We start from the raw sequence: 27,997 nt of genomic DNA on the forward strand, positions 1-27,997 counted from the left end.
ACATTAATGGTATGTTTATTTTCTTGGATATAAAGCTGTGTGTCAAAGATTTTTAAAACTTACTATATAAGTATATGTAAGTAGTTAATAGAAAACATCATTTTTGTTGTTTTTGCAGCATCGTTTTCCACATGTGTAGTTTAGCATTTTTTTGAATTAAAGAGGTAGCACAGATAAAATGCACACACCGAGATTTAATAATAATGTATTCTTTCCCCACTGTGTATGTTACCAGACCCATGAATCATCTATGTTTATTTCTATACAAGGAAACACCTATGATTCAAGTCCATTAAAAGTGGTCAACAGAAAAAAAAATTTAGGGTGAAGAAATAACATTTTGAATTGTACATATTTCTATTCCCATAACACCTCAGAATTTGGGCACAATCTACAAATAAATAGATGGATAGAGGCAGATTATGATAGAAAGATGATAGATGATAGATAGATAGATAGACAGACAGACAGATAGAACAGCCTGAATATTATGTGAAACATTATATATAAAAATAACTATTTCTAGATAATCATAAGGGGTTTTAAACTATTTGGCAAAATGTGACCATTCAAATATTTTTTAAGTTAATAGAATAAAAGTTTCCAGTATTTACCAATTATAATATAATTAAATAATGTCCTGGATACCTTAGAAAGTCAACCCTTGAATTATCCTGACTTCTTATAGTATGTTCTAGGTATCTAGCTTTTTAGTTTAGGAACTCTGTCATCCTTATCTACAATGTCTTCTTTTGTATTTTTCCCTAGAATACAGAATAAAATGCTTTTCTCCAGTTTTTGTAATTATGTCAATACAATGTATCCCACAAACCCATCATTTGGGTCTTGCTATTGAAACTTTTATTCCAAATGTCTTTGCCTTCCCTGCAAGATTAAAACAAAAATCAATTTATTCTAAAAGAGGATTTGCCTAAGACCAGAAAGTTATTGCTTTGCTTAGAAAATGTTTTCTATTCCTTTTTGGTTTTTTGTCTTATTTGGAATTGTGTGACTGATGTAACCTTGCAGGATCGCAGCCAAGCTAATGAAACATTTTTATTATAATAATAGCTAACATTTATTTAGTGAATGTGCATTATGCCAACTCTTTCCAAATACTTGACTTTTAGCATCTCATTTAATCCACACAATAATTTGATGAGGATGGGTAACAATGAGATCCATTTAATACATAGAAAAATGAGGCATACTGCGGGGTTAGCACCATGTTCAGGATCACTTATGTACTGTGGGTAGAGCCAAAATATGAACGCAGGTAGCCTGGTGCCAGGTCTCACTGCAGCTTTTCTATGATATGGATTGAAGCCAAGTTTTAGGCAGCATTTAGTAATTATCAGCTTTTGCTCTCAATCTAGCCTTTTATATTAGTTTTATATAATTCTCAAGCCCTTAAGAAAATGAATAGAAGTCACATATTAGTCATGAATCATGTTTGGGAAAAGGGAACCACAACAGAGCTTGATAGCGATGCATTTCATTTCAGTTCTTTTATAAAAATCAGTGTGTGACGCCATTCTTTCCCGTCCTGCCTTTTTTTTTTTTTTTTTTTTTTTTTTTTTTTTGACGGAGTTTCGCTGTTGTTGCCCAGGCTGGAGTCCAATGGCGCGATCTCGGCGCACCGCAACCTCCGCCTCCCGGGTTCAAGCAATTCTCTTGCCTCAGCCTTCCGAGTAGCTGGGATTACAGGCATGCGCCACCACGTCTGGCTAATTTTGTATTTTTTTTTAGTAGGGACGGGGTTTCTCCACATTGGTCAGACTGGTCTTGAACTCCAGACCTCAAGTGATCCACCCGCCTTGGCCTCCCAAAGTACTGGGATCTGTTCTGCCTTTTCACCTTCCACCATGACAGCTCTTTCTCTGTCTTCTGCAGACTCATCTTCTACGCGTCATTCAAATATTGGTGGTCTACAGCAGCGGTCCCCAAACTTCTTGGTACCAGGGCCAGTTTTGTGGAAGACAATTTTCCTAAATACCAGAAAGAGGAAAAGCTGGGGTTTGGTTTCAGGATGAAACTTCCACCTCAGATCATCAGGTTAGATTCTCCTAAGTAGAGCGCACGTTGGATCCCTCGCATGCGCAGTTCACAATAGGTTCACGCTCCTGTGATAATCTGCTCCCTCGCCTGCCCACCCACCCGCCAGTACCCCTGGTCTAGAGGATCTTTGGCTCAGGACCTTTCTCCATAAATTTCCAAGTGATATGACCAGTGGGCACCAAAGACTACCTGTGTGCATTAGTGGCTTCCAAATCCTCTCGTCTAGACCATGCTTATCTTGTGAGCTCTGGATTAATATATATCATTGTTTCTTTAAGAGTTATTCTAAGATCTTCTACAGGAATAAAATGCCAAAATTAAACTCGCCCGTGTTCTCCCTATTCAAACTGTCTTTTCTTCCCATTTTTCTTTTTTAAATTAATTATCCTCTCCATTAGCATATAACCCCAGAGAAAAGCTACCCGTCTACTTTGTTGCTTCTTTTACCGCCCTTCCCAGTCATATTCTTCTAGTTACAAAGTACGTAGATTTTACTTACCAAATTCTGTTTAAATGTGCTCCCTCCTTCTCATTCCTTGTTTTACTCATTTACCTTGTCTTCATATTCTGATATGTCAATTGTGTAACAGACCCTAAATGGTCTTAGTTTTCTTTTCTCAACTGGTTTCATTTTCACCTTAAAACAAGGTATCCCTTTACAAAACAAAGAAAAACCAAAACACATTCTTGACGTTGTTGCATGTCAATGTCTACTCATTCCACGTATCCACGGAAGATGTCCTGGCTCTCTAATGAGGCATACAAAGTCGTCTCATAACATTCTTTGTTTTTTTTTTTGTTTTTTTGTTTGTTTTTTTTTTTGAGACGGATTCTTGCTCAGTCGCCTAGGCTGGAGTGCAGTGGCGCGATCTCGGCTCACTGCAAGCTCCGCCTCCCGGGTTCATGCCATTCTCCTGCCTCGGCCTCCTGAGTAGCTGGGACTACAGACGCCCGCCACCGTGCCTGGCTAATTTTTGTTTTTGTATTTTTAGTAGAGACGGGGTTTCACCGTGTTAGCCAGGATGGTCTCAATCTCCTGACCTCGTGATCTGCCCGCCTTGGCCTCCGAAAGTGCTGGGATTACAGGCTTGAGACACTGCGCCCGGCTGTCTCATAACATTGCTAACCAACCTCCTTTACACTTTCTCCCCTCACATGACACCATAGCCACATACCATACCATATTCTCTCCCCTGTATATAACACTTCTTACTTATTTTTTTAAAAAAAGCTGGTATCCAATCTCTTGGAGCTCTCTTTCCCCATATACTTAGAATAATCCTACATTTCTACTCATCATATAAGTTGTAATCCCTCAACAACAAAAAAATGACCATCAGCAGGAAAAATATTCCTTTTTTTTTTCTCTGTGATAGCACTTTGTTTTCCATCTACTGCTGGAAATGAGTTGTTGAATTTTATTTTTCTTAATTTATTGATTTTCCAACCTAAATTCCAAGTTAAAAAATATAGTATTAGCTGCACAGGCCATGTAAAAAACTTCCCCTGTAAAATTGCTTGGTACACAGTAAACATGCAACAAATGCTACTAAGCTAATAAATGATTGAATAGTGGAGAACAATTATAAGATTTATATGGAATTGGCATATATTCAATGTTTATCTCAGAAAGGGATAATATACAGTATAAGACATCTAGTTTGATGCCATAAAACCTAAAGGAAGGACACTGGCATTAATGCAAAAGTAATAATTCATTTGTATAGTAGCAAACAAATGCCACATGGTTATAGAATTCTTATTACTGTACTAAAAAAGACTTGCAGGCATTAATTTTCACAATACAGATCTATGACAAAACAATGACATTTCAAGGTCAAAAATGCTAATTCATTCCTGGGCAAATGCAAGAATGCCTTATTGGAAAGAAGTTGGAATAATTAATGTTGCAGATAAAGTACCTGACATTTGATTAATAAAATCAGAATATCAGATTAAAGCAAAGGTTAGTTAAAAAAAAAAAAACAAGCTTTTTTTTTCTCCTTAAGATGACTGTTACAACCATGTTTGATGCCAATGTATTTGTCCAAACTAATTTCTCTACATTATTCTGCCTAGGGATTTTGTTTAATTTCTCTCAAAATTCAAACAGTGTTTTTCAAACTTTAGCATACATATGAATTACTTGGGAATCTTGCTAATAATATAGTCTCTGATTTAGTAGGTTTGGAGTGGGGCCCATGATGTTTCTGCTTATCTAGCAAGCTCCAAGGTGATTCCAATGCTTTTGGTCTGTGCACCATACTTTGAATGAAGAGTTTAGGGCAGTACTTCCAAATTTTGTTGTACCTTGGAATAGCCAGGGGATCTTTAAAAACAACTGATGCCTAGTTTTCTCTGCCATACACTCTGATTTAATTGGTATGGGATGCTACCTAAGCACTGAAATTTTTTTAAAAATCCCAAATGTTTCTAAGAGACAGCAAATGTAGGGAGCTATCAGCTTAGGGGATATTTAAAACTATTACATACTTATTTTCTCCCAAAATGTAAGGTAATAATCTATTCTAATAAAGGTCTTTTAATTACTTATATTCAGTTATTATAAATACAAAATATAGCTATTTTATTAGTTATATTTGTAAATTATTTGTGAATTCATATTTGGATAAAAGTATAATATATACATTAATTCATATTTTACCAAAAATCTACGTAATTGATAAAAATAAATACTATGTTGTTACTCTTTCTAGTGAATGTACAAGGGGAATATATGCTAACTAATAAATACAGTGGCTTAAGAATACTATAAATTTGCACAGACATATGCATACACACAGCTATTTACTGATGTATATAGCACTTAGGAGTCAGATAATGACTTAAGTCCTTTACATATAAACTCACACCAACCTTATGAAATAGGTACTGTTACTATCCTCATTTAAGGGTATTGAAACAGACACAGAGAGGTATTTTGGCTAAGTGACACAACCAGCAAGAGGCGGAACTGAGATTTTAACTCAAGGGTCTCTCAGGTTCAGTACAATAGGCTGCTCTATGATGTTATCTTTCTATAATTCATTTTGATGATCTGTCGGGTGGGTTTGATACTTCTTCTTTTTAATGTAGTGTCCCTTTGAAAGTATTTCATAAAGATGATGATGATATATAGTTACTTGCAATAAGAAAAGAGTTGATTGTATCTTACATGACTTTGTATAGGCTCTGGATGTAAACAGTTTAGCTCTGGGAAAGATGTTTTAGTGAAATTATGATGGGAGGTAGAATGAATTTGTAGAATCTGCCTAAATGGAATTGTTAGAGTTTGTTGTTAGAGATCATTTCTTTTTCAACAGAAACTAATGTCATTGATGTTTCCAATGGGAAAGGTGTTTTAGTGAAATCATGATGGGAGGTAGAATGAATTTGTAGAATCTGCCTGAATGGACTTTAGTTAGAGTTTGTTGTTAGAGATCATTTCTTTTTCAATAGAAACTAATGTCATTGATGTTTCCAATGGTGAGGCAAACCAAGGTTTATAGTACCTTTATATAAATTAGCCAAATTATCTAATATTGAAAGAGTGTTTAAAAATGGCAGCAAAGGGCAAAATTAATTTCAAATGTTAAAATACTCAAAAATTGTTTTCTACTGTGAAATGATCGTGTGTGTGTGCGTGTGTGTGTGTGTTTCTACTCATTTATTTTTGTGGGAACTGTATCAATCTCTTTTAAAAGTAAATGATGACCAAAAGAATTCTAGAGGGTCTGTTTTGGTAAACAGCAGCTGTCTTCAAAACTCAGTTCCTCCCACATTATTCATCTAAAATTCTGGATTATCAGTCATTGATTGGAAATTATAGAAGTGGGCATTCCTTGCTCTTATATCAGATGGATGTCAGGCAGTAACAGCCTTACTTGCTACCCACCTACCATGTGCTTCTCCATGCTACTTCAAACTTGAGTGTAAGAATTGTTTCAGAAGGAGTTGACTAGAGTAGCCTGCAGGAAAGCTGCTGAGGAAACTCTGGGATGTGTTGGGAAGCCAATATGCTTCTCCCACAAAGTTTTAGTTAATGGGAGTATCTTATTATGGCTAGAAAATACTGTATCTCTGAGATGCTTCCAATTAAATCTCTATAAGGCTGAGATTGTGAACATCAGATCATGGCTGGGATTCAGGTAATATATGTTTATATGAGCATTTGAAGAGGGATAGATCTATGACATTTTATTTCATGCTTAAACACATATGGGAATCACAAAATTTTAAGAACCAGCATTTTACAGGTATAACTGCATTGCAGTGTAATTTTACAGACAGAGAACTTGAATGATAAGAAAATAAAATGACTAATTCTGATACTTTCTTTTTCTTTCCTGCTTTATGCTTTAGTTGTGAACCTACATATTGCCATAAAATGTGGAAAGTTAATATCTTTCACTCAAAACATTTGCATGAATACTTATAACCTTAAGGCAATTGTCTAGTTGATTAGTGTGAACATAGCCAGAGAACCTTATAAAAAAGTAAGCTTTCCCACCACAGAGACCCTTTAAATCTTCTGTTCCCTGTCATTTCTTATGTTTGCTATTCTTCTAAAGCTGTTTTATTTTTTTTCTCAACCAAATACAGTTTTGTTTTGTGGAAAAAATTACTTTAATGCTAAAAGTCCAAAATATGTTTGCTCATAACTGTTACTGTATTTCAAAAGAAGTCATCAATATGTTTCATATTTGTACCACTATGGTCACCCAACAGGGTTTAATACTACACAGCAGGGATTTTCTCTGAGACAGTGCAGATATGGCCACTCTTTCCAACAAGTGAAAGTGGACACAACTGTGGGTAAAAAGTGAGGTGAGCAAATTGCTATTATGATTAATATTTACTGTGCTTTCTGTTCTCTTCTTTCTATAAAGCATGAGTACAAGAAAGGTCAATTGAGGACATATCAAAATATCTAGACAAAGCCAAACTGGTCATCCATAAATAAACAATAAATTAGAAATTGAATGTAAACCCTTTAATGCAGGTTTTAAATAAAGTTTGCAAGCCAGCATTTATATCTTGATATCATGAAACCAACACCTTGACCATATAAAGAACTTTTAAAAATATTTTAATGATAAAAATAAATGTAAACGTAGTTTGAGGGGGTATTCACTCATATTTAATTCCTATATTTAATTACATCTGTATAAAATGTGAAGACCTACTCTCAGAAAATATTTGAATACATTAGTTAAACAAGACAAATGTACTTGGCTTTCAGAACTTCTGACTGGAAATCATTTAGAATGTTTGATAAAGCTAAATCACTTTAATGTTGTATTTCACTAAACTTTAAACTTTTAAATTCTAATCAATGTTTTTTGTTAAAAACAAAAAATAGATATTGCAATCAAATTAAAGATTCTATCTTTTACAGAAGCACTAAGGAACATTACACTCTCATGATGTCACCTTCAGGTCAACCTCAGTTTCCAGGATGCAGTCCTGAAGTGTGCTTATCAATCAGCTCTCATTCTGCTGGCAACACATCACATACATTTAATATTCTACATTAAAAAAACATTTTATTAAGATATTATTGACATTAAAAGTTGACTATAAATATATACAATGTATACAACTTGATGAGTTTGAAGATTAGTAAACACCCAGGAAGTTGTCACCACCGTCAAATCCATAAACACATTCATTACCTCCAAAAGATTCCTCCTACCCTCCTTGTTCTTTCTTCTTATTATTATTATTATTGGTGTGATAAGAACACTTAGCATAAGATCTACACTCTTTGCAAATATTTAAGTATACAATACACATTGTTAACTGTAAGCACTCTGCTATACAGAAGAACCCTGGAACCTACTCATCTTCTATAACTGAGACTTTCTACCCTTTGGTTACACCTCCCCATTTCCACCTCCCCCGGCCCTGGATACTTCTGTTCTACTCTCTGCTTCTATGAGTTTGACTTTTTCATATTTCTTGTATAAGTGGGATAGGAGTATTTGTCTTTTTTATGTCTGGCTTATTTCCCTAAGCATAATGTCCTCTGGTTCATCCACATCATTGCAAATGGCAAGATTTCCTTTTTCAAGGCTGAATAACATTCCATTTTATGTATTTATCATATTTTCTTTATCCATTTTTCTATTGATGGAAATGGAGGTTGCTTCCATGCTTTTGATATTATAAACAATGTTTTAATAAACATGAGAGTGCAGATAATCTCTTTGAAATTCTGATTTCAATTCCTTTGTCCCTGTACACTTTCCTTAGAGGATACTGCAGGTTTGTTTCTAGACAACTACAATAAAGTGAATATCACAATAAAGTGAATCCCACAAATGTTTTGGTTTTCCTGTGCATATGGAAGTTATGTTTATACCATACTGTAGTCTACTTAGTGAGCAATAGCTTTATATCTAAAAATTAAATACCCTGATTAAAAATATTTTATTACTAAAACAATGCTAACAATCATCTGAATCTTTAGTGAATTATAATCTTTTTTGCAGACCACTGGGTCTTGCCTCAATGTTGATGGTTGCTGACTTATGAGGGCAATGGTTGTTGAAGGTTGAGGTGGCTGTGGTAATTTCTTAAAATAAGACAGCAACGAAGCTAGCCACATCGATTGACACTTACTCTAACAAAAAATTTCTCTGTGTTATGCAATGCTGACCGATACTATTTTACCCACAATAAAACTCTTTCAAAATTGAAGTTAATCTTCTTAAGTCTGCCACTGCTTTATCAACTAAGTTTGTGTAATAATCTAAATCCTTTCTTGTCATTTCAACGGTGTTCACAGCATCTTTACTAAAAGTATATTCCATCTTAAGAAACCACTTTATTTGTTTATCAAGAGAAGCAGATCATCTTGTAAAGATTTGTCATGAGATTGTAGTAATTCAGTCACATCTTCAGGCTCCACTTCTAATTCTATTTCTTTTGCTATTTCTACCACATCTGCAGTGACATCTTCCACTGAAACCTTGAGCTTCTCAAAGTAATCTATGAGGGCTGGAATCAGCTTCTTCCAAACTCCTGTTAATGTTGATATTTTGGTTTCCACCCACGAATCACAAATGTTCTTAATGGCACCTAGAATGGTGGATTCTTTCCAGAAAGCTTTCAATTTACTTTCCCAAGATCCATCAGGGAAATCACTATCTATGGGAGCTATAGTCTTACAAAATTTATTTCTTAAAAAAAAAAACACTTAAAAATCAAAATGGCTCTTTGATCCATGGACTACAAAGTGATGTTTTGTTAGCAGGCATGAAAACTACATTAATCTCCCTGTAGATCTCTGTCAGACCACTTGGGTAGCCAGTGCATTTTCAATGAGCAGTACTATCTTAAAAGGAATCTTTTTTTCTAAACAGTAAGTCTCAAAAATGGGCTTAAATTATTTAGTAAACCATGCTGTAAGCAGACCTGCTGCCATCCAGGCTCTGTTGTTCCATTTTATATAGAGCACAAGCAGAGTAGGTTTAGCTTAATTCTTAGGGGTATGCCTGCATAACCAAGTTCTATTTTTAATTATTTGAGGAATCTTCATACTGCTTTCCATAGTGGTCACATCAATTTACATTCTCCCCAACAGTGTACAAGGCTTCCCTTTTCTCTACCTCCTTGCTAATACTTGTTATCTTTTGTGTTTTTTTAATAGTAGCCATCCTAACACATGTGACGTAAAATTTCATTGTGGTTTTGATTTGCATTCCCTTGGTGATTAGAAGTGTTGAGGATCTTTTCATATACCTTTTGGCCATTCATATGTTTTCTTGAAAAATTATATATTGAGATCTTCTGTCCATTTTTTAATTGGTATTTTTTTGTTTATTTGTCTTTTGCTATAGAGTTGTAGCAGTTCCTTATATATTTTGGATATTAACTCTTTATCTGATATACGGTGCCTTAGTAAGTTTGGGCTGCTTTAACAAAATACTATAGCCTAAGTAGCTTATAAAAAACAGAAATTTATTTGCCAAAGATCTGGAGGCTAGAAGTTTGAGATTAGGATGCCAATATGGTAGGTTTGGTGAGGGCCCTTTTTTGGGGTGGTATCCTCATCTGGTAGAAAGAGGGCAAGAGAGCTCTCTGAAGTCCCTTCGAAAAGTAAAATAATCCCATTCACAAGGGCAAAGCTTCCCAAAGGCCTCACTTTCTAGTATCATCACACGGGCAATTAGCATTTCAACATGTGAATTTTGAGAGGACACAAATATTTGCATATGGTTACCAAGTATTTTATTACATTACATAGGTTGACTTTTCATTCTTTTGTTTTCTTTGTTGCACAAAAAACCCCAATTGTCTATTTTTGCTTTTGTTACTTGTGTTTTTGGTGTCATATCCAAGAAATCATCGCCAGAGCCAATGTTAAAGTTTTTCCCTGTGTGCGTGTTTTTTTTCTAGGAGCTTATGGTCATCTTTTAAGTTTAAATCTAATTCACTGTGAGTTGATATTTATGTGTGGTGCAACGTAAGCATCCGACTTGATTTTATTTTTTGCATATGGATATCCAGTTTTCACAGCACTGCTTGTTACCCTCAGCAAAGAACAGTTGTCTGTAAATTCATGGGTTTATGTCTAGGCTCTCTGTTCTGTTCTATTGGTCAACATATGGTCATATATCACTTAACTGCAGGGAAGGGATACATTCTGAGAAATGCATTATTACATGATTTCATCATTGTGCAAACACTATAGAGTGTAGTTACAGAAACCTAGATGGTATAGCTTACTACACACCTAGGCTATAAGGTATAGCTTTTTGCTCCTAGCCAACAAACGTGTAGCATATTACTGGATACTGAATATTATAGACAATTGTGTAACACAATGGTAATCATTTGTGTATCTACATATATCTAAACATAGAAAAAGTACAGTAAAAATATTGCATCATACTCTCATGGAACCATCATCATTTATGCCATCAGTCATTGATGAAAACATCATTATACAATTTGTGACTATATCTCTTTTTATGATAGTATCATGCTGTTTTGATTATTGTAGCTTTGTAATATATTTTGTAATCAGGAAGTGTGATATCTCTAGCTGTGTTCTTATGATTCAAATTTGCTTTGGTCATTTGAGATCCATACTGGTGGAGTCTAATTATTCAAAACTAGGGAAAACAGACAAACAGAAAAAACTAAGACCAAGTTAGCAGAAGAAAGACAATAACAAAGGTTAGATCAAAAATAAATAATATAGAGAATGAAAAAATTAGAAAAAGTGGACAAAACTACAATGTACTTTTTTGAAAAGACAAACAAAATTAACAAACCCTTACCTTGACTAAAAAAAGAGACTCAAATAAATAAAATTGGAAATGAGACAGGAGACATTACAATTGATGTTAACAAAAAGATCATAAGGTACTATTATGAACAACTATACACCAATAAATTGGACAACCTAGAAAAAAAATGGATAAATTCCTAGAAATACACAGTCTATCAAACTGAAACAAGAAGAAATAGAAAGCCTGAACATACCAGTAACAACCAAGGAGACTGAGTAAATAATCAAAAACCTCCCAAGAAGAAGAGTCTAGGACCAGAAGTCTTCACAAATGAATTCTACCAAACATTTAAAGTATTAATGCCAATCATTCATTCTTATACTCTTCCAAAAAGAAAGAGGGAATATTTTCAAACTCATTTTATGAGGCCAGCATTATTCTGATACCAAAACTACGCAAAAATACTACAAGAACATAAAAACTACAAATGTGGGAATTATCATGTATACATATGCAAAAATCCTCAGTAAAATCCTAGCAAACTAAATTCAACAGTACATTAAAAAGATCATATAGCATGACCAGTGAAATTTCTCCTTAGGACGCAAGGATAAGTCAACATATAAAATTGAATGTGATATACCACTTTAACAAAATGAAGGATAAAAATCATATGATCATCTGAATAGATGCAGAAAAAGCATATAACAAACTTTGACGTTGTTGAGAAATTGAAAGCTTTTCTCTAAGATCAAGAACAAAGCAAGGATGCCCATTCTTGCTTCTATTCAGCATAGTGCTTGAAGTCCTAGTCTGGACAATTGGGCAAAAATAAATAAATAAATAAATAGATAAATAAATAAATAAATATAAATAAATAAATAAAATCCACCAAATTGGAAAGGAAGAAGTGAAATTACCTCTGTTTGTAGATGAGCTGATCTCATGTGTAGACAACCTTAAAGATTCCACAAAAACAAACAAACACACAAACAAACAAAATAGCTAGAGCAAAGAAATGAATTCAGTACAGTTGCAGAATGCAAAATCAGTATACAAAAAGTACTTGTAATTCTATATAATAGCAACAAACTATTTCATAAGGAAATTAAGGAAACAATCCCCATTACAATAGCATCATAAATAATAAATCTTAAGAACAAATTTAACCAAGGAGGTGAAAGACTTGTGTACTGAAAACTATAAAATGCTGATAAAAAAATTAAAGAAGATACAATAAATGGAAGATATTCCATGCCATGGTTTGGAAGAATTAATATTGCTAAATGTACATACTACCCAAAACAACCTGTAGAGTCAATGCAATCCCTATCAAAATACCAATATTTTTTTTTTTACAGAAATGAAAACACAATCTTAACACTATTTAAACCAATTAAACAAACCTATGATTTCAATTTGGTCAAATGTGTTAGAATGGATTTCCTTTTATTGTTTTGAACTTGTCTCTTCCAAATTTCAAAGCCTGGTTCCTAATTTTTACTTGAAATACCAAATAACAAACCCACTTAATGAGCTCTGAGCCAGTTTTAGTAGCCAAACTTGTATTTAAATAGTGTGTTACATATTTGCACAAAAAGCCAACGGAGTCTAAATCAACACTAATTCACATCATTACTAGCAATCTAAAACATCAGATGATAATTTTGCTGTTGTCTTTCAGGCAAGATATTCAACCATTGGTATTAAATGTTTTATATGAATGTGCGGTGTTTTATTTCAGAAACACTTCTCTGAATTCCCAAGGCCTAAGAGCTATTCATCATAGAGGTTTGTGGAGGCGGTAGTTAGACATTTTCTACATGCATAATGTTAATTCATTCAAACATTATAGAAAAAAAGTTTGTAAAGAAGTTAATTTTCAAGGTGACAAAAAAATCAGATTGAATCATGTTTATTTTATTTCAATTTAAACTCGTTGGCTATCTTAGGAAATTCACATTGTTTTTGAAGAATATATGAACAAAGTTTGATTCATCTTATCTATATAAGCATGAGAGAAATACCTAGATGAGAGTGAAAAATGACTAATTTTGTGACCATTGTTATATCATAGATTAACTTGTTCTCTTCTACTTCTAAGCTGTGTGATCTTGAAAAGTCATCTAAACTTCAGGTACCATCCTCACTTGCAAAATGAGGGGAAAAACCCCAGCACCTTTAATATGGTGTTATGTGGATGAAATAAGTTAATATATATTAAGTGCTTAGGTTTCATGCACTTTCTATATAGTATTAATAATATTATTGTTACATTATTATAGTTACATTATTATTTTTATTAATATTATTGGAACATGAATGGAATTGTTGTGGCTCATTTTAAAGATGCTGCAATGGAGACCAAGAGAAATTAAGTATAATAATCCTAGTTAAGGTACAGCCATTTCTAATTACATTTTCCAACTGCTGCTTTTACTCCTAGCACTCACACCAATTCTTCTCATAATCTAATAAATACTGAAATTTAAAACTTATAAAGAACACATAATAATCTTATTTAATTATCACAACAATTTCTGTGGAGTTACTATTAATCCAGAGATGAAGAATCTAAAACTCTAAATTATCAAGCAACTATTCCAGCTTTAAACAACAGTAAAACTGGAATTAAAACTAGAGTTTCTTTATGAGGCCAGTATTACTCTTATACTAAAGCAAGACAACTGTCTCTCTCTCACTCTCTCTTTCTCTCTCTCTGAGACACACACACACACACACAAGCACACACACACACACACCAGATCAATATAACTTATGGATGTTGATGCAAAAATTTTCAAAAAATTAATAGCAAATCGAATCCAGCAGTATTTTAAAGGACTATACACCATGGACAAATGGGGTTTATTCCTGGGATATAAAGTTGGCTAAACTTAATGAAAATCAACCAGTGCAATAAATAATAGTAATTAAAAAAACATAATTATCTCACTAGATGTACAAAAAATGACAAGATCCAACATGTTTTCAATATAAAAGCATTCCACAGACTAGGAATAGAAGGGAACTTCCTCAACTTTACAAAGAACATCTACAACGAAACCACAGCTAACATCATATTTAATGGTGGAAGACTGAAATCTCTGAATATTTTCCCCTAAGATCAGAAAAAGACAAAGAGGTCTACTAATTCTATTCAACATTGGAAAGATAGTTCTAGTCAATTAATCATTAAAAAAAGGCATTTAGATTAGAAAGGAAGTAAAATTACCTCTGGCAGATGACATAATCTTATACATGGAGAACTCCTAGAGATTACATACACACTCACAACTACCAGAGTTAATAAATGGGTTCTACAAAGTTGCAGGATACAATATCAATTCTCAAAAAACACTTGTATTTCTATACACTAGCAAATAACTCTGAAAATGAAAATAACAAAACAATTCCACTTGCAAGAGCATCAAAAAAGCATGAAAATCTTAGGAAGGAATTTACCAAGAATGTACAAGTTTTATGTACTGAAAAATAAAAAATGTCATTAAAAATAGTTAAAGAGAATCTAAGCACATTGCAGTTTTCTGACTCCAGGCCCGGGCTCTTGGATGGCATCTCTGGATCCACTCAGGACCAGGGAGAACTTGTTGCCCTGAAGGGAAGGACACAAGTCTGACTGGCTTTACCACCTGCTGATTGTAGAAGCCTAGGGCCTTCAGGGAACACAGGTGGTAGCCAGATAGCAGTTACCATGGGCATTAGGCATGACCCAGTGCTATGTTGGCTTCTAGTTTGACCCAGCACAGCCCAAGGGTGGTAACCACATGGGTGCTTGTGTCACCCCTCCTTAAGTTCCAGGCAGCCAGCAAAGAGAGAGTGACTCTGTTTGGGAGAAAGTAAGGGAAGAGAATAAAAGTCTCTGTTGGTAATACAAGGAATTCTTCCAGATCTTATCCAAGACCTCTATGAATCTGCAACAGCCAAAGCATTATTAGTTTTCAGGTTTCCCCAGTGCAGATATGACTGCAATGATCAAAAACTTAGATTATAACACTCAAGTCCCATTTGATACCTGAAAAGCTTTCCAAGAAAGATAGGCACAAACAAGTTTGGACTGGGAGGACTACAATAAATACCTAACTTCTCAATGCCCAGAAACTGATGAACATCCACAAGCTTTAAGACCATCCAGGAGGTGGCTGGCAAGATGGCTGAATAGGAACAGCTCTGGTCTGCAGCTCCCAGTGAGATCAGTGCAGAAGGTGGTGGTTTCTGCATTTCCAACTGAGGTACCCAGCTCCTCTCATTGGGACTGGTTAGATAGTGAGTGCAGCCCACAGAGGGTGAGCCAAAGCTGGATGGGGTGTCACCTCACTGGGGAAGCACAAGGGGATGGGGAACTCCCTCCCCTAGCCAACGGAATCTGTGAGGGACTGCCATGAGGGATGGTGCATTCTGGTCCAGATACTATGCTTTTCCCATGTTCTTCACAACCCTCAGGCCAGGAGATTCCCTCGGGTGCCTACACCACCAGGGCCTTGGGTTTCAAGTACAAAACTGGGTGGATCTTTGGGCAGGCACCGAGCTAGCTGCAGGAGTTATTTTTCATACCCCAGTGGTGCCTGGAATGCCAGTGAGACAGAACCATTCACTCTCCTGGAAAGGGAGCTGAAGCCAGGGAACCCAGTGGTCTAGCTCGGTGGATCCCACTCCCATGGAGGCCAGTAAGCTAAGATCCACTGGCTTGAAATTCTCACTGCCAGTGCAGCAGTCTGAAGTCAACCTGGGATGCTTGAGCTTGGTGGAGAGAGGGACGTCCACCATTACTGAGGTTTGAGTAAGCAGTTTTCCCCTCACAGTGTAAACAAAGCCACTGGGAAGTTAAAGTAGGTGGAGCCCACGACAGTTCGGCAAAGCCACTATAGCCAGAATGCCTCTCTAGATTCCTCCTGTCTGGGCAGGGCTTCTCTGAAAGAAAGGCAGCAGCTGCGGTCAGGAGCTTATAGATCAAACTCCCATCTCCCTGGGACAGGGCACCTGGGGAAAGGGGCAGCTGTGGGTGCAGCTTCAGCAGACTTAAATATTGCCGCAAGCTGACTCTGAAGACAGCAGGGGATCTCCCAGCACAGCGCTCGAGCTCTGCTAAGGGGCAGACTGCCTCCTCAAGTGGGTCTCTGACCCCTGTGTCTCCAGACTGGGAGACACCGCACAGCAAGGGTCGACAGACACCTCATACAGGAGAGCTCCGGCTGGTATCTGGTGGGTGCCCCTCTGGGACAAAGCTTCGAGAGGAAGGAGCAGGCAGCAATCTTTGCAGTACTGTAGCCTCTACTGGTGATACCCAGGCAAATAGGGTCTGACGTTGACCTCCAGCAAACTCCAGCAGACCTTCAGCAGACGGGCCTGAGTGTAAGAAGGAAAATTAACAAACAGAAAGGAATAGCATCAACATCAAAAAAACAAAAACAAAAACAAAAACAAAAACAAAAACAGCACATCCGCACAAAAACCCCATCTGAAGGTCACCAACACCAAATACCAAAGGTAGATAAATCCACAAAGATGGGGAAAAACCAGCACAAAAAAGCTGAAAATTCCAAAAAACAGAATACCTCTTCTCCTCCAAAGGATCACAATTCCTCACCAGCAAGGGGACAAAACTGGACAGAGAATGAGTTTGATGAATTGACAGAAGTAGGCTTGAAAAGGTGGGTAATAAACTCCTCTGAGCTAAAGGAGCATGTTCTAACCCAATGCAAGGAAGCTAAGAACCTTGAAAAATGGTTAGAGTAATTGCTAACTAGAATAACCAGTTTAGAGAAGAGCATAAATGACCTGATGGAGCTGAAAACTATAGCACAAGAACTTCGTGCAGCATACACAGGTATCAATATCCAAATCGATCAAGCAAAGAAAAGAATATCAGAGATTGAAGATCAACTTAATGAAATAAAGTGTGAAGACCAGATTAGAGAAAAAAGAATAAAAAGGAATGAACAAAGTCTCCAAGAAATATGGGAATATGTGAAAAGACTAAACCTACATTTGATTAGTGTACCTGAAAGTGACGGGGAGAAAGGAATCAAGTTGGAAAACATTCTTCAGGATATTATCCAGGAGAACATCCACAACCTAGCAAGACAGGCCAACATTTAAATTCAGGAAATACAGAGTACATCACAAAGATACTCCTCGAGAAAAACAACCCCAAGACACATAATTGTCAGATGCACCAAGGTTGAAATACAGGAAAAAAGTTAAGGGCAGCCAGAGAGAAAGGTCGGGTTACCCACAAAGGGAAGCCCATCAGACTAACAGTGGATCTCCCTGCAGAAACCCTACAAGCCAGAAGAGAGTGAAGGCCAATATTCAACATGCTTTAAGAAAAGAATTTTCAACCCACAATTTCATATCCAGCCAAACTATGCTTCATAGTGAAGGAGAAATAAAATCCTTTACAGACAAGCAAATGCTGAGAAATTTTGTCACCACCAGGCCTGCCTTACAAGAGCTCCCGAAGGAAGCACTAAATATGAAAAGGAAAAACCAGTATCAGCCACTGCAAAAACATATGAAATTGTAAAGACCATCAACACTATGAAGAAACTGCATCAACTAATGGGCAAAATAACCAGCTAGCATTATAATGACAGGATCAAATTCACACATAACGATATTAACCTTAAATGTAATAGGCTAACTGCCCCAATTAAGAGACACAGACTGGCAAATTGGATAGAGAGTCAAGACCCAACAGTGTGCTGTATTCAGGAGTCCAATTCATGTGCAAAGATACATATAGGCTCGAAATAAAGGGATGGAGGAATATTTACTAAGCAAATGGAAAGCAAAATAAAGCGGAGGTTGCAATCCTAGTCTCTGATAAAATAGACTTCAAACCAACAAAGATCAAAAGAGACAACAAAGGGCATTACATAATGATAAAGGGATCAATGCAACAAGAACAGCTAGCTATCCTAAATATATATGCACCCAATTCAGGAGCACACAAATTCATCAAGCAAGTTCTTAGAGACCTATAGAGACTTAGACTCCCACGTAATAATAGTGGGAGACTTTAACACCCCACTGTCAATATTAAACAGATCAATGAGACAGAAAATTAACAAGTACATTCAGGACTTGAACTCAGCTCTGGACCAAGCAGGCCTAATAGACATCTATAGGACTCTCCACCCCAAATAAATAGAATATACATTATTCTCAGCACCACATTGCACTTATTCTAAAATTGACCACATCATTGGAAGTAAAAGACTCCTCAGCAAATGCCAAAGAACTAAAATCATAACAAACAGTCTCTCAGACCACAGTGCAATCAAATAAGAGCTCTGGAATAAGAAACTCACTCAAAACCGCACAACTACATGGAAACTGAACAACCTGCTGCTGAATGACTACTGGGTAAATAATGAAATTAAGGCAGAAATAAATAAGTTACTTGAAACCAATGAGAACAAAGACACAACATACCAGAATCTCTGGGACACAGCTAAAGTAGTGTTTGGAGGGAAATTCATAGCACTAAATGCCCACACGAGAAAGTGGGAAAGATCTAAAATCAACACCCTAACATCACAATGAAAAGAACTAGAGAAGCAAAGGCAAACAAATTCAAAAGCTAGCAGAAGACAAGAAATAACTAAGATGAGAGCAGAACTAAGGAGAGAGAGACACGAAAAACCCTTCATAAATCAATGAATCCAAGAGCTGTTTTTTTTGAAAAGATTAACAAAATAGATAGATCACTAGCCAGACTAATGAAGAAGAAAAGAGAGAAGAATTGTATAGACACAATAAAAAATGATAAAGGGGAGATCATCACTGATCCCACAGAAATACAAACTACCATCAGAGAATACTATAGACACCTCTATGCAAATAAACTAGAAAACCTAGAAGAAATGGATAAATTCCTGGACACATACACCTTCCCAAGACTAAACCAGGAAGAAGTCAAATCCCTGAACAGACCAATAACAAGTCCTGAAATTGAGGCAGTAATTAATAGCGTTCCAATGAAAAAAAGCCCAGGACCAGATGGATTCACAGCCAAATTCTACAAGAGGTACAAATCAGAGCTGGTACCATTCCTTCTGAAACTATTCCAAACAACAGAAAAAGAAAGACTCCTCCCTAACTCATTTTATGAGGCTGGCATCATCCTGATACCAAAACCTGGCAGAGACATACACACAAAAAAGAAAATTTCAGGCTAATATATCCCTGATTAACACCGACGCAAAAATCCTCAATAAAATACTGGCAAACCAAATCCAGCAGCACATCAAAAAGCTTATCCACCACGATCAAGTTGGCTTCATACCTGGCATGCAAGGCTTGTTCAACATACGAAAATCAATAAATGTAATTCATCACAAAAACAGAACCAATGACAAAAACCACATGATTATCTCAATAGATGCAGAAAAGGCCTTCAACAAAATTTAACAGCCCTTCATGCTAAAAACTCTCAATAAGCTAGGTATCGATGCAATGTATTTTAAAACAATAAGAGCTATTTATGACAAACCCATACCCAATATCATACTGAATGGGCAAAAGCTGGAAGCATTCCCTTTAAAAACTGGCACAAGACAAGGATGCCCTCTCTCACCACTCCTATTCAACATAGTGTTGGAAGTTCTGGCCAGGGCAATCAGGCAAGAGAAAGAAATAGAAGGTATTCAAATAGGAAGAGAAGAAGTCAAATTGTCTCTGTTTGTGGATGACATCATTGTATATTTAGAAAACCCCATTGTCTCAGCCCAAAATCTCCTTAAGCTGATAAGCAACTTCAGCAAAGTCTCAGGATACAAAATCAATGTGCAAAAATCACAAGCATTTCTATACACTAATAATAGACAAACAGAGAGCCAAATCATGAGTGAACTCCCATTCAAAATACCTAGGAATACAACTTACAAGGGATGTGAAGGACCTCTTCAAGGAGAACTACAAACCACTGCTAAGGAAATAAAAGAGGATACAAACAAATGCAAAAACATTCCATCCTCATGGATAGGAAGAATCAATATCATGACAATGGCCATACTGCCCAAAATAATTTATAGACTCAATGCTATGTTCATCAAGCTACCACCGAATTTCTTCACAGAATTAGTAAAAAACTGGCCAGGCTCAGTGGCTCACGCTTGTAATCCAAGCACTTTGGGAGGCCAAGGCAGGAGGATCAAGAGGTCAGGAGATTGAGACCATGGTGAAACCCCGTCTCTACTAAAAATACAAAAAATTAGCCGGGCGTGGTGGCAGGCGCCTGTAGTCCCAGCTACTTGGAGAGGCTGAGGCAGGAGAATGGCGTGAACCCAGGAGACGGAGCTTGCAATGAGCCAAGATCCTGTCACTGCACTCCAGCCTGAGTGACAGAGCAAGACTCCGTCTCAAAAAACAAACAAACAAACAACAAAAAAAAAAAAACTACCTTAAATTTCTTATGGAACTAAAAAAGAGCCCATATAGCCAAAACAATCCTAAGCAAAAAGAACATAGCTGGAGGCATCATGCTACCTAACTTCAAATTATGCTACAAGGCTACAGTAACCAAAACAGCATGGTATTGGTATGAAAACAGATATATAGACCAATGGAACAGAACAGAGGCCTCAGAAATAACCCCAGACATCTACAACTCTCTGATTTTTGACAAACCTGACAAAAACAAGCAATGGGGAAAGGATTTCCTATTTAATAAATGTTGTTGCGAAAACTGGCTAGCCATATGCAGAAAACTGAAACGGGACTCCTCCCTTACACCTTATACAAAAATTAACTCAAGATGGATTAAAGACTTAAACGTAAGACCTAAAAACCATAAGAACCCTAGAAGAAAACCTAGGAAATACCATTCAGGCCATAGGCATGGGCAAACACTTCATGTCTAAAACATCAAAAGCAATGGCAAGAAAATCCCAAATTGACAAATGGGATCTAATTAAACTAAAGAGCTTCTGCACAGCAAAAGAAACTATCATCAGAGTGAACAGGCAACCTATAAAATGGGAGAAAATTTTTGCAATCTGTCCATCTGATAAAGGGCTAATATCCAGAATCTACAATGAACTCCAACAAATTTACAAGAAAAAAACAACCCCATCAAAAAGTGGGTGAAGGATGTGAACAGACACCTCTCAAAAGAAGACATTTATGTGGCCAAGAAACATACAAAAAAAAGCTTATCATCACTGGTCATTGGAGAAATGCAAATAAAAACCACAGTGAGATACCATCTCACTCCAGTTAGAATGGCGATCATTAAAAAGTCAGGAAACAACAGATGCTGGAGAGGATGTGGAGAAATAGGAACGCTTTTACACTGTTGGTGGGAGTGTAAATTAGTTCAACCATTGTGGAAGACAGTGTGGTGATTCCTCAAGGATCTAGAACCAGAAATACCATTTGACCTAGCAATCCCATTACTGGGCATATACCCAAAGGATTATAAATCATTCTATGATAAACACACATGCACATGTATGTTTATTGTGGCACTATTAACAATAGCAAAGACTTGGAACCAACCCAGATGTCCATCAATGATAGACTAGATTAAGAAAATGTGGCACATATACACCATGAAATACTATGCAGCCATAAAAAAGGATGAGTTCATGTCCTTTGCAGTGACATGAATGAAGCTGGAAACCATCATTCTCAGCAAACTATCACAAGATCAGAAAACCAAACACCACATATTCTCACTCATAAGTGGGAGTTGAACAATGAGAACACATGGACACAGGGAGGGGAACATCACACACCAGGGCCTGTCAGGCAGTGGGGGGCTAGGGGAGGGATAACATTAGGAGAAATACATAATGTAGGTGACAGGTTGATGGGTGCAGCAAACCACCGTGGCACATGTATACCTATGTAACAAACCTGCACGTTCTGCACATGTATCCCAGAACTTAAAGTATTAAAAAAAAAAGACCATTTATGAAAACATGACCTTACCAAAGAACTATATAAGTCACTGGAGACCAATCCTGGAGTGACAGAAATATGTGACCTCTCAGATGGAGAATTCAAAATAGCTGTTGTGAGGAAATTCAACAAAATTCAAGATGACATGGCAAAGGAATTCAGACTTCTATCAGATAAATTCAAAAAAGAAGATGAAATAATTTTTTTAAAAATTCATGCAGAAATTTTGGAGCTGAAAAATTCAATTGATATACAAAAGAATGCATCTTACCAGCAGAATTGATCCTGCAGAAGAAAGAATTAGTAAATTTGAAAACACTCTATTTGAAAATATACAGTCAGAGGAGACAAAAGAAGAAAATTAAAAACAATGAAGCATACCTACAGGATCTAGAAAATAGCCTCAAAAGCATAAATCTAAGAGTTACTGGCCTTAAAAAGGAAGGAGAGAGAGAGAGAGAGTGGGATAGGGGTAGAAAGTTTATTCAAAGGGATAACAATAGAGTATCAGTATTCAAATACAAGGTTATGGAACACCATTCAGATTTAACCCAAAGAAGACTACCTCAAGACATTTAATAACTGAACTCTCATTCAATGGGAAAAGTAAAGTCCTTTCAATAAAGGTGTTGGGATAATTGGGTATGCAAAAAATGAATTTGGATACCTTTCTTGTGTCATATACATAAAACCCCAAAATAGATTAAAGACCTAAGTATAAGAGCTAAAACTATGAAACTCTTAGAAAGAAACACAGTAAATTTTTGTGACCTTTGATTAGGCAATGATTTCTTAAATATGATAAAATATGGTAAAAGCAACAAAAGAAAACATGAATAAATTGGATCTTATCAAAATTTAAAACTTTTTTGCATCGTAGAATACTATCAAGAGTATGAAAAGAAAACCTACAAAATAGGAGAACATGTTTGGAAATCATGTATTTGTTAAGGGATTAGTATACAGAATATATATATATATATATATATATATATATATATATATATATATACTCTTACACCTCAACTATAAAGAGACGAATAACCCAATCTAAAAAAATAGGCAATAAATAGCTATTAGTTCTCCAAAGTACATACACAAATGACCAACAAGTTCATCAAAAGATGCTCATCATCTTTACTCAGGAGGCAAATACAGATTAATATTACAATGATATTAGACATGGATTTGTCATATACAGACTTTATTAAGTTAGATTCCCTCTATGCCTAATTTGTTGAGAGTTTTTATCATGAAGAGATGTTGCATTTTGTCAAATGCCTTTTCTGTGTCTTTTGAGATGATCATATGGTTTTCGTCCTTTATTTTGCTGATATGATGTACCACATTTATTGATTTGCATTTATTGAATCATCCTTCCACCCCTGGGATAAATCCCACTTGATCATGGTGTATTATCTTTTTGATGTTTTTTGGATTCACTTTGCTGATATTTTGTTGAGGATTTCTGCATCTATAATCATTAAGGATATTGGCCTGTAGTTTTCTGTTTTTATGTTGTATTCTAGTCTGATTTTGGTATCAGGGTAATGCTGTTCTTGTTGAGCGTGTCAGGAAGTCCAAAAGACTTCTTCTTTAGTGTTTTGGAATAGTTTGAGAATTGTTAGTTTTTTTTTTTTATAAGTTTGGTAGAATTCAGCAGTAAAGCCATCCAGTTCTGGGCTTTTCTTTGTTAAGAGACTTAAAACACACACAACGCACACACAAAATGAAATATCACTTTCCACCCATTATAATTTACAAAGTGGAAAATAACTCGTGTTGATAAGAATGTGGAAACCTTGAAACCTTCATGCATTGCCAGTGGTAATGTGAAAGAATCTTGCCATTGTGGAAAACAATTTGTCAGTTCCTCAAACAGTTCAACATAGAGTTACTGTATGAAATAATTCAACTCCCAGGCATGCACCCAAGAGCATTGAAAACATAAGTACACACAAAAACTTGTACAAGAACAGTCAGATCAGTATTATATATAATTGGCAAAAAATGGAAACAATCCAAATATTCATCAACTGCTGAATAGATAAAATGTGGCATATCCATATAATTAAATACTATTCAGCCACAAAAATAATAAAGTACGGATAGACACTAAAACATGGAAGAACCTTGAAAATATTAAGCTAAGTGAAAGACATAAGACACAAAACCCAACATTTAAAGGAAATTTCCAGAATTGTCAGATCCACTGAAGAAGAAACTTGAGTGTTTGCCAGCATGTGGGAGGAGAGGAAAATCAGTAGTTATGAGGTTTCTGGAATTAGTAGTGCTGATGGTGACACAACATTGTGAATATACTATAAACCACTAAATGATACCTCTCAAAATGGTTAAAACATTACTGTTGTGTTATGTGAATTTTACCTCAATTAGAAAAGAAAAAAATCTTATCAATAACAAAGAGAAATTTCCACACAAGGTGGGATCGCTTCCACAGTGCTACTCAATGCAGTTTAGCGATTGCATTTGTATTGGAGTAAAAGCATGTCACATTGCTTTTAACATTGGAGTCCAATACATAAACCTCTTTCACCATAACTATATGGAGTTCATTGTATGTATATTTATTAAAATGGAATTAAGATGAATTTCACAACACAATGGATCATTTTTTTTTTCATGTGGAAAATCAGAACACATGCCTTAATGGTTACATGCCCCACCTGCTGCTCACCTAAAAGTAAATTTCCTCTAACTCAGACAAATATGTTATTTTCAAGGAAAAGAAGCCCAGAGAACTGAGATCCAGAAGAAATAACATGTATTGAAAGCACACAGAAGTATTTCAATGAACTCAAACCCAAGATTGTAGAAAACTCTCATGTGCCCCTGGGACTGATGTTTGAAAATACACATATTTTGCTCCTACTCTTTCCTTCCCCAGATCCCACCCTTCAGAGCACCCGACGATAATGGATAGTTTCTAGCAGGGTGTCTGGAATGGGCAAGTACCCCCAAAGTTATAGTTTGTACTGCAAGACTTGAACCCACTCTTTTTCTGCCCTCTATTATTATTTTTGCATTTTAACCATTTATTATTTTGAAAAGAAAAGAGAATTTTTAGAATATGGAAAGAGGAAGTGAATTAATAAAATAGCACACCCTACATAGAGACTGCTAATCCATCTCCAGTCTAAAGATTTAGTAATAGGCAAGAATATACATATCCAGGAATTTCCTTGGTGTTACATAAACAAAGGCGGCACATATGTATATTTTTCACAAAATATTCACTGTTTGAAGAAGGAATTACTCCCTTCAATTGAGTTCAGGCCTGATCAACAAGTAGTGATTGGCCAACAGCTAAATGCAAAGTGCATGCTAAGTCTGGGGATACAAAGATGAATGAGAAAACATTTATGCCCTTAGGAGAAAAACAAATATCTTTATCTCAGAGAATAGAGAAGGAGATTGATTCTCTTTGGGGGAGATGTCATCCTGAAGAGTATAACAAGTTCCCCTATAATTCTACTTTTCAGTACTGTTTAAAATACAACTGGATTTTTTTAAATATGTAAAATTTATATAATTTTACAAATGTCTTTGTTAAGAATTAAAACTATCATTAGTAAAGGACACAGCTGGAAAATTGAAAACATTTTGGTTCTCTACTGTGGAAACAGAATAGAGTAACAGCAAAAAGCGTATTTCTGGAATTGGACCCTGACAACTCTGCTTAAACACTCCACCACTTTCTAGCTATATGACCTTGGGTAAGTTACTTAACTTCTTTGTGTGTCAGTTTCTTCATTTGTAAAATTGGAATAATAGATGCTTTTTTTGAGACAGTGTCTCATTCTGTTGCCCAGGCTGGAGTGCAGTGGCGTGACCACAGCTCACTGCAGCCTCAACCTCCTGAGTTCAAGTGATTCTCCAACTTGAGCCTCCCAGATAGCTAGGACCACAGACACATGCCACCATGCCTGGGTAATTTTTTTTTTAAGTTTTTCATAGAAATAGTGTCTCACTAAGTTGCCCAACCTGGAAAATTGGAATAATAATTCATAAAATCTTCCTCCTAGATTTGTGAAGATCAATTGAGTTAATGTATGTAACGTACTTGGCACAGAGCTTGGCCCATGTAATCTCTCAATGAGTGCTAACATTACTTGTCTCACAAAAAGTTACTTACTTCCGTCTGGCACCAACTCCCTCTCTCACTTCCCACAATCTGGTTACCATTCATTCTTCAGTTCTCAGCTTAAACAATGTCTTTTCCATATGGTTTCATTGACGCCACTTTGGGAAAATAGATGTCTCTTCTGCTTGCATTTTCAGACCTTTTTAGGTGTATACCTTAGGGCATTTGCTTTACTGACCAAAATTATTTGCCGGCTACTCTGTGCTTTTCATGACACACTGAATAAGACAGGAAGAGTGTTTATCTATGCTCAACATAAGATAGGCATATAATGGAAGCTTCGTATATATTTGTTGAATAAAAAACATAAGGGGAAAATATCAGATCTAATAATGCAGGACAGGAGGCAAGATGGAACGGAGAGAACCTTGTCTGAGAAGAGACATAATTAAAACAGGGCATGGGAGGTAATAGAAAGATTGGAGGAAAAAGAGACAGAGAGACAGAAATGTTTGTGGTAATTTGTGACAAGTAGCTTTGATTGTTCATGGCCTAATCTTTTAGGGCATGAGGTTATTTCATTCTCTGTAGCCCACCGAGAGTGCGTACAGTGACACATGTTATGTAAGTCCCCTTTTCCCTTTTTATAAATGTCTAGACCCCCTGTGATTTGAGACTTTTCTAGAAGAATTTAGCTGAAGACCATATTGTTTTTTAAATGTAGTATTTGGAGCCTAGAGGTGCCAGATAACTTCCTGCAAAGCTAATGCATTTATTTTGGGAATATATAAGCTCAGTATCATCATTACCAACAGTGCTCAGACTTGATTTTATTTTCATTCCAACAGCAAAGGAAAGAAAGCAACTTCTTTCATGCTTCCATGCCACTCTGCATCTCTCTACCTTCACAGAGTTTCTCAATAATGGCAACATTTCCAGTTCACCAATGGACTGAGAGATCATTGAGGCTAGACTAGTCTTATTAATCCTTATACCCCAGCTCCTAGCCGAACTCCTGGACACACAATAGATACTCAGATACATTTACTGAAATGCATATAGAAAGTTACACCTGCAAAAAAGATGATCTCTCACCAGGAATAAGAAAATATAATCTGGGACAGCCCATATATGAGATCTCTAAACAACCTACCTATAACCACCAAGAAAAAAAAATACCTGAGTTTGAGATTTATTTTTCCGTCTCATTTTTAATATATTCCAGTTAGTGAAAGAGCTAAAATAAATGACAAGAAAAATTTAATCTAGGTATTTAAACAGAATTATTCTGAATGTTGTGAGCTACATTTCTTTTTTACCTTTTATTTATACATAGTATTTGTATATACTTATACAATATATTTATTTTGTATATATAAATATATTGTATTTATTTATACATGTAAATGTATAATATATTTATTTATACATAGTATTTATATATACATAGTATTTGTATATATTTATAGGGTACATGTAATATTTTGTTACACGCATAGAATGTGTAATGGTCAAGCCAGAATATTTAGAGTATCCATTACCTTAAGTATTTATTATTTCTCTGTGCTAGGAGCATGTTAAGTCCTCTCTTTTAGCTATTTTGAAATGTACATTGATGTTAACTATCATTAACACAGAGTAATTGATATGTATAGCAAATAAT

General features: G+C 35.8%; 1 protein-coding gene and 1 long non-coding RNA gene across 3 annotated transcripts in view; one reads left to right on the top strand and one right to left on the bottom strand.

The window, feature by feature from the left end:
* Nucleotides 1–27,997, top strand: part of HCRTR2 (hypocretin receptor 2) — a 178,245-nt gene that overhangs the window by 36,080 nt on the left and 114,168 nt on the right. The gene's annotated exons all lie outside the window — the stretch shown is intronic.
* Nucleotides 1,120–2,921, bottom strand: LOC124901491 (uncharacterized). The gene is made up of 2 exons (XR_007059924.1): nucleotides 2,558–2,921; nucleotides 1,120–1,988 (listed from the first exon to the last, which is right to left on the bottom strand). It is a non-coding gene; the product is annotated as an uncharacterized LOC124901491 (long non-coding RNA).

The sequence above is a fragment of the Homo sapiens genome, chromosome 6, assembly GCF_000001405.40.
Source record: "Homo sapiens chromosome 6, GRCh38.p14 Primary Assembly".
Classification (NCBI taxonomy): domain Eukaryota; kingdom Metazoa; phylum Chordata; class Mammalia; order Primates; family Hominidae; genus Homo; species Homo sapiens.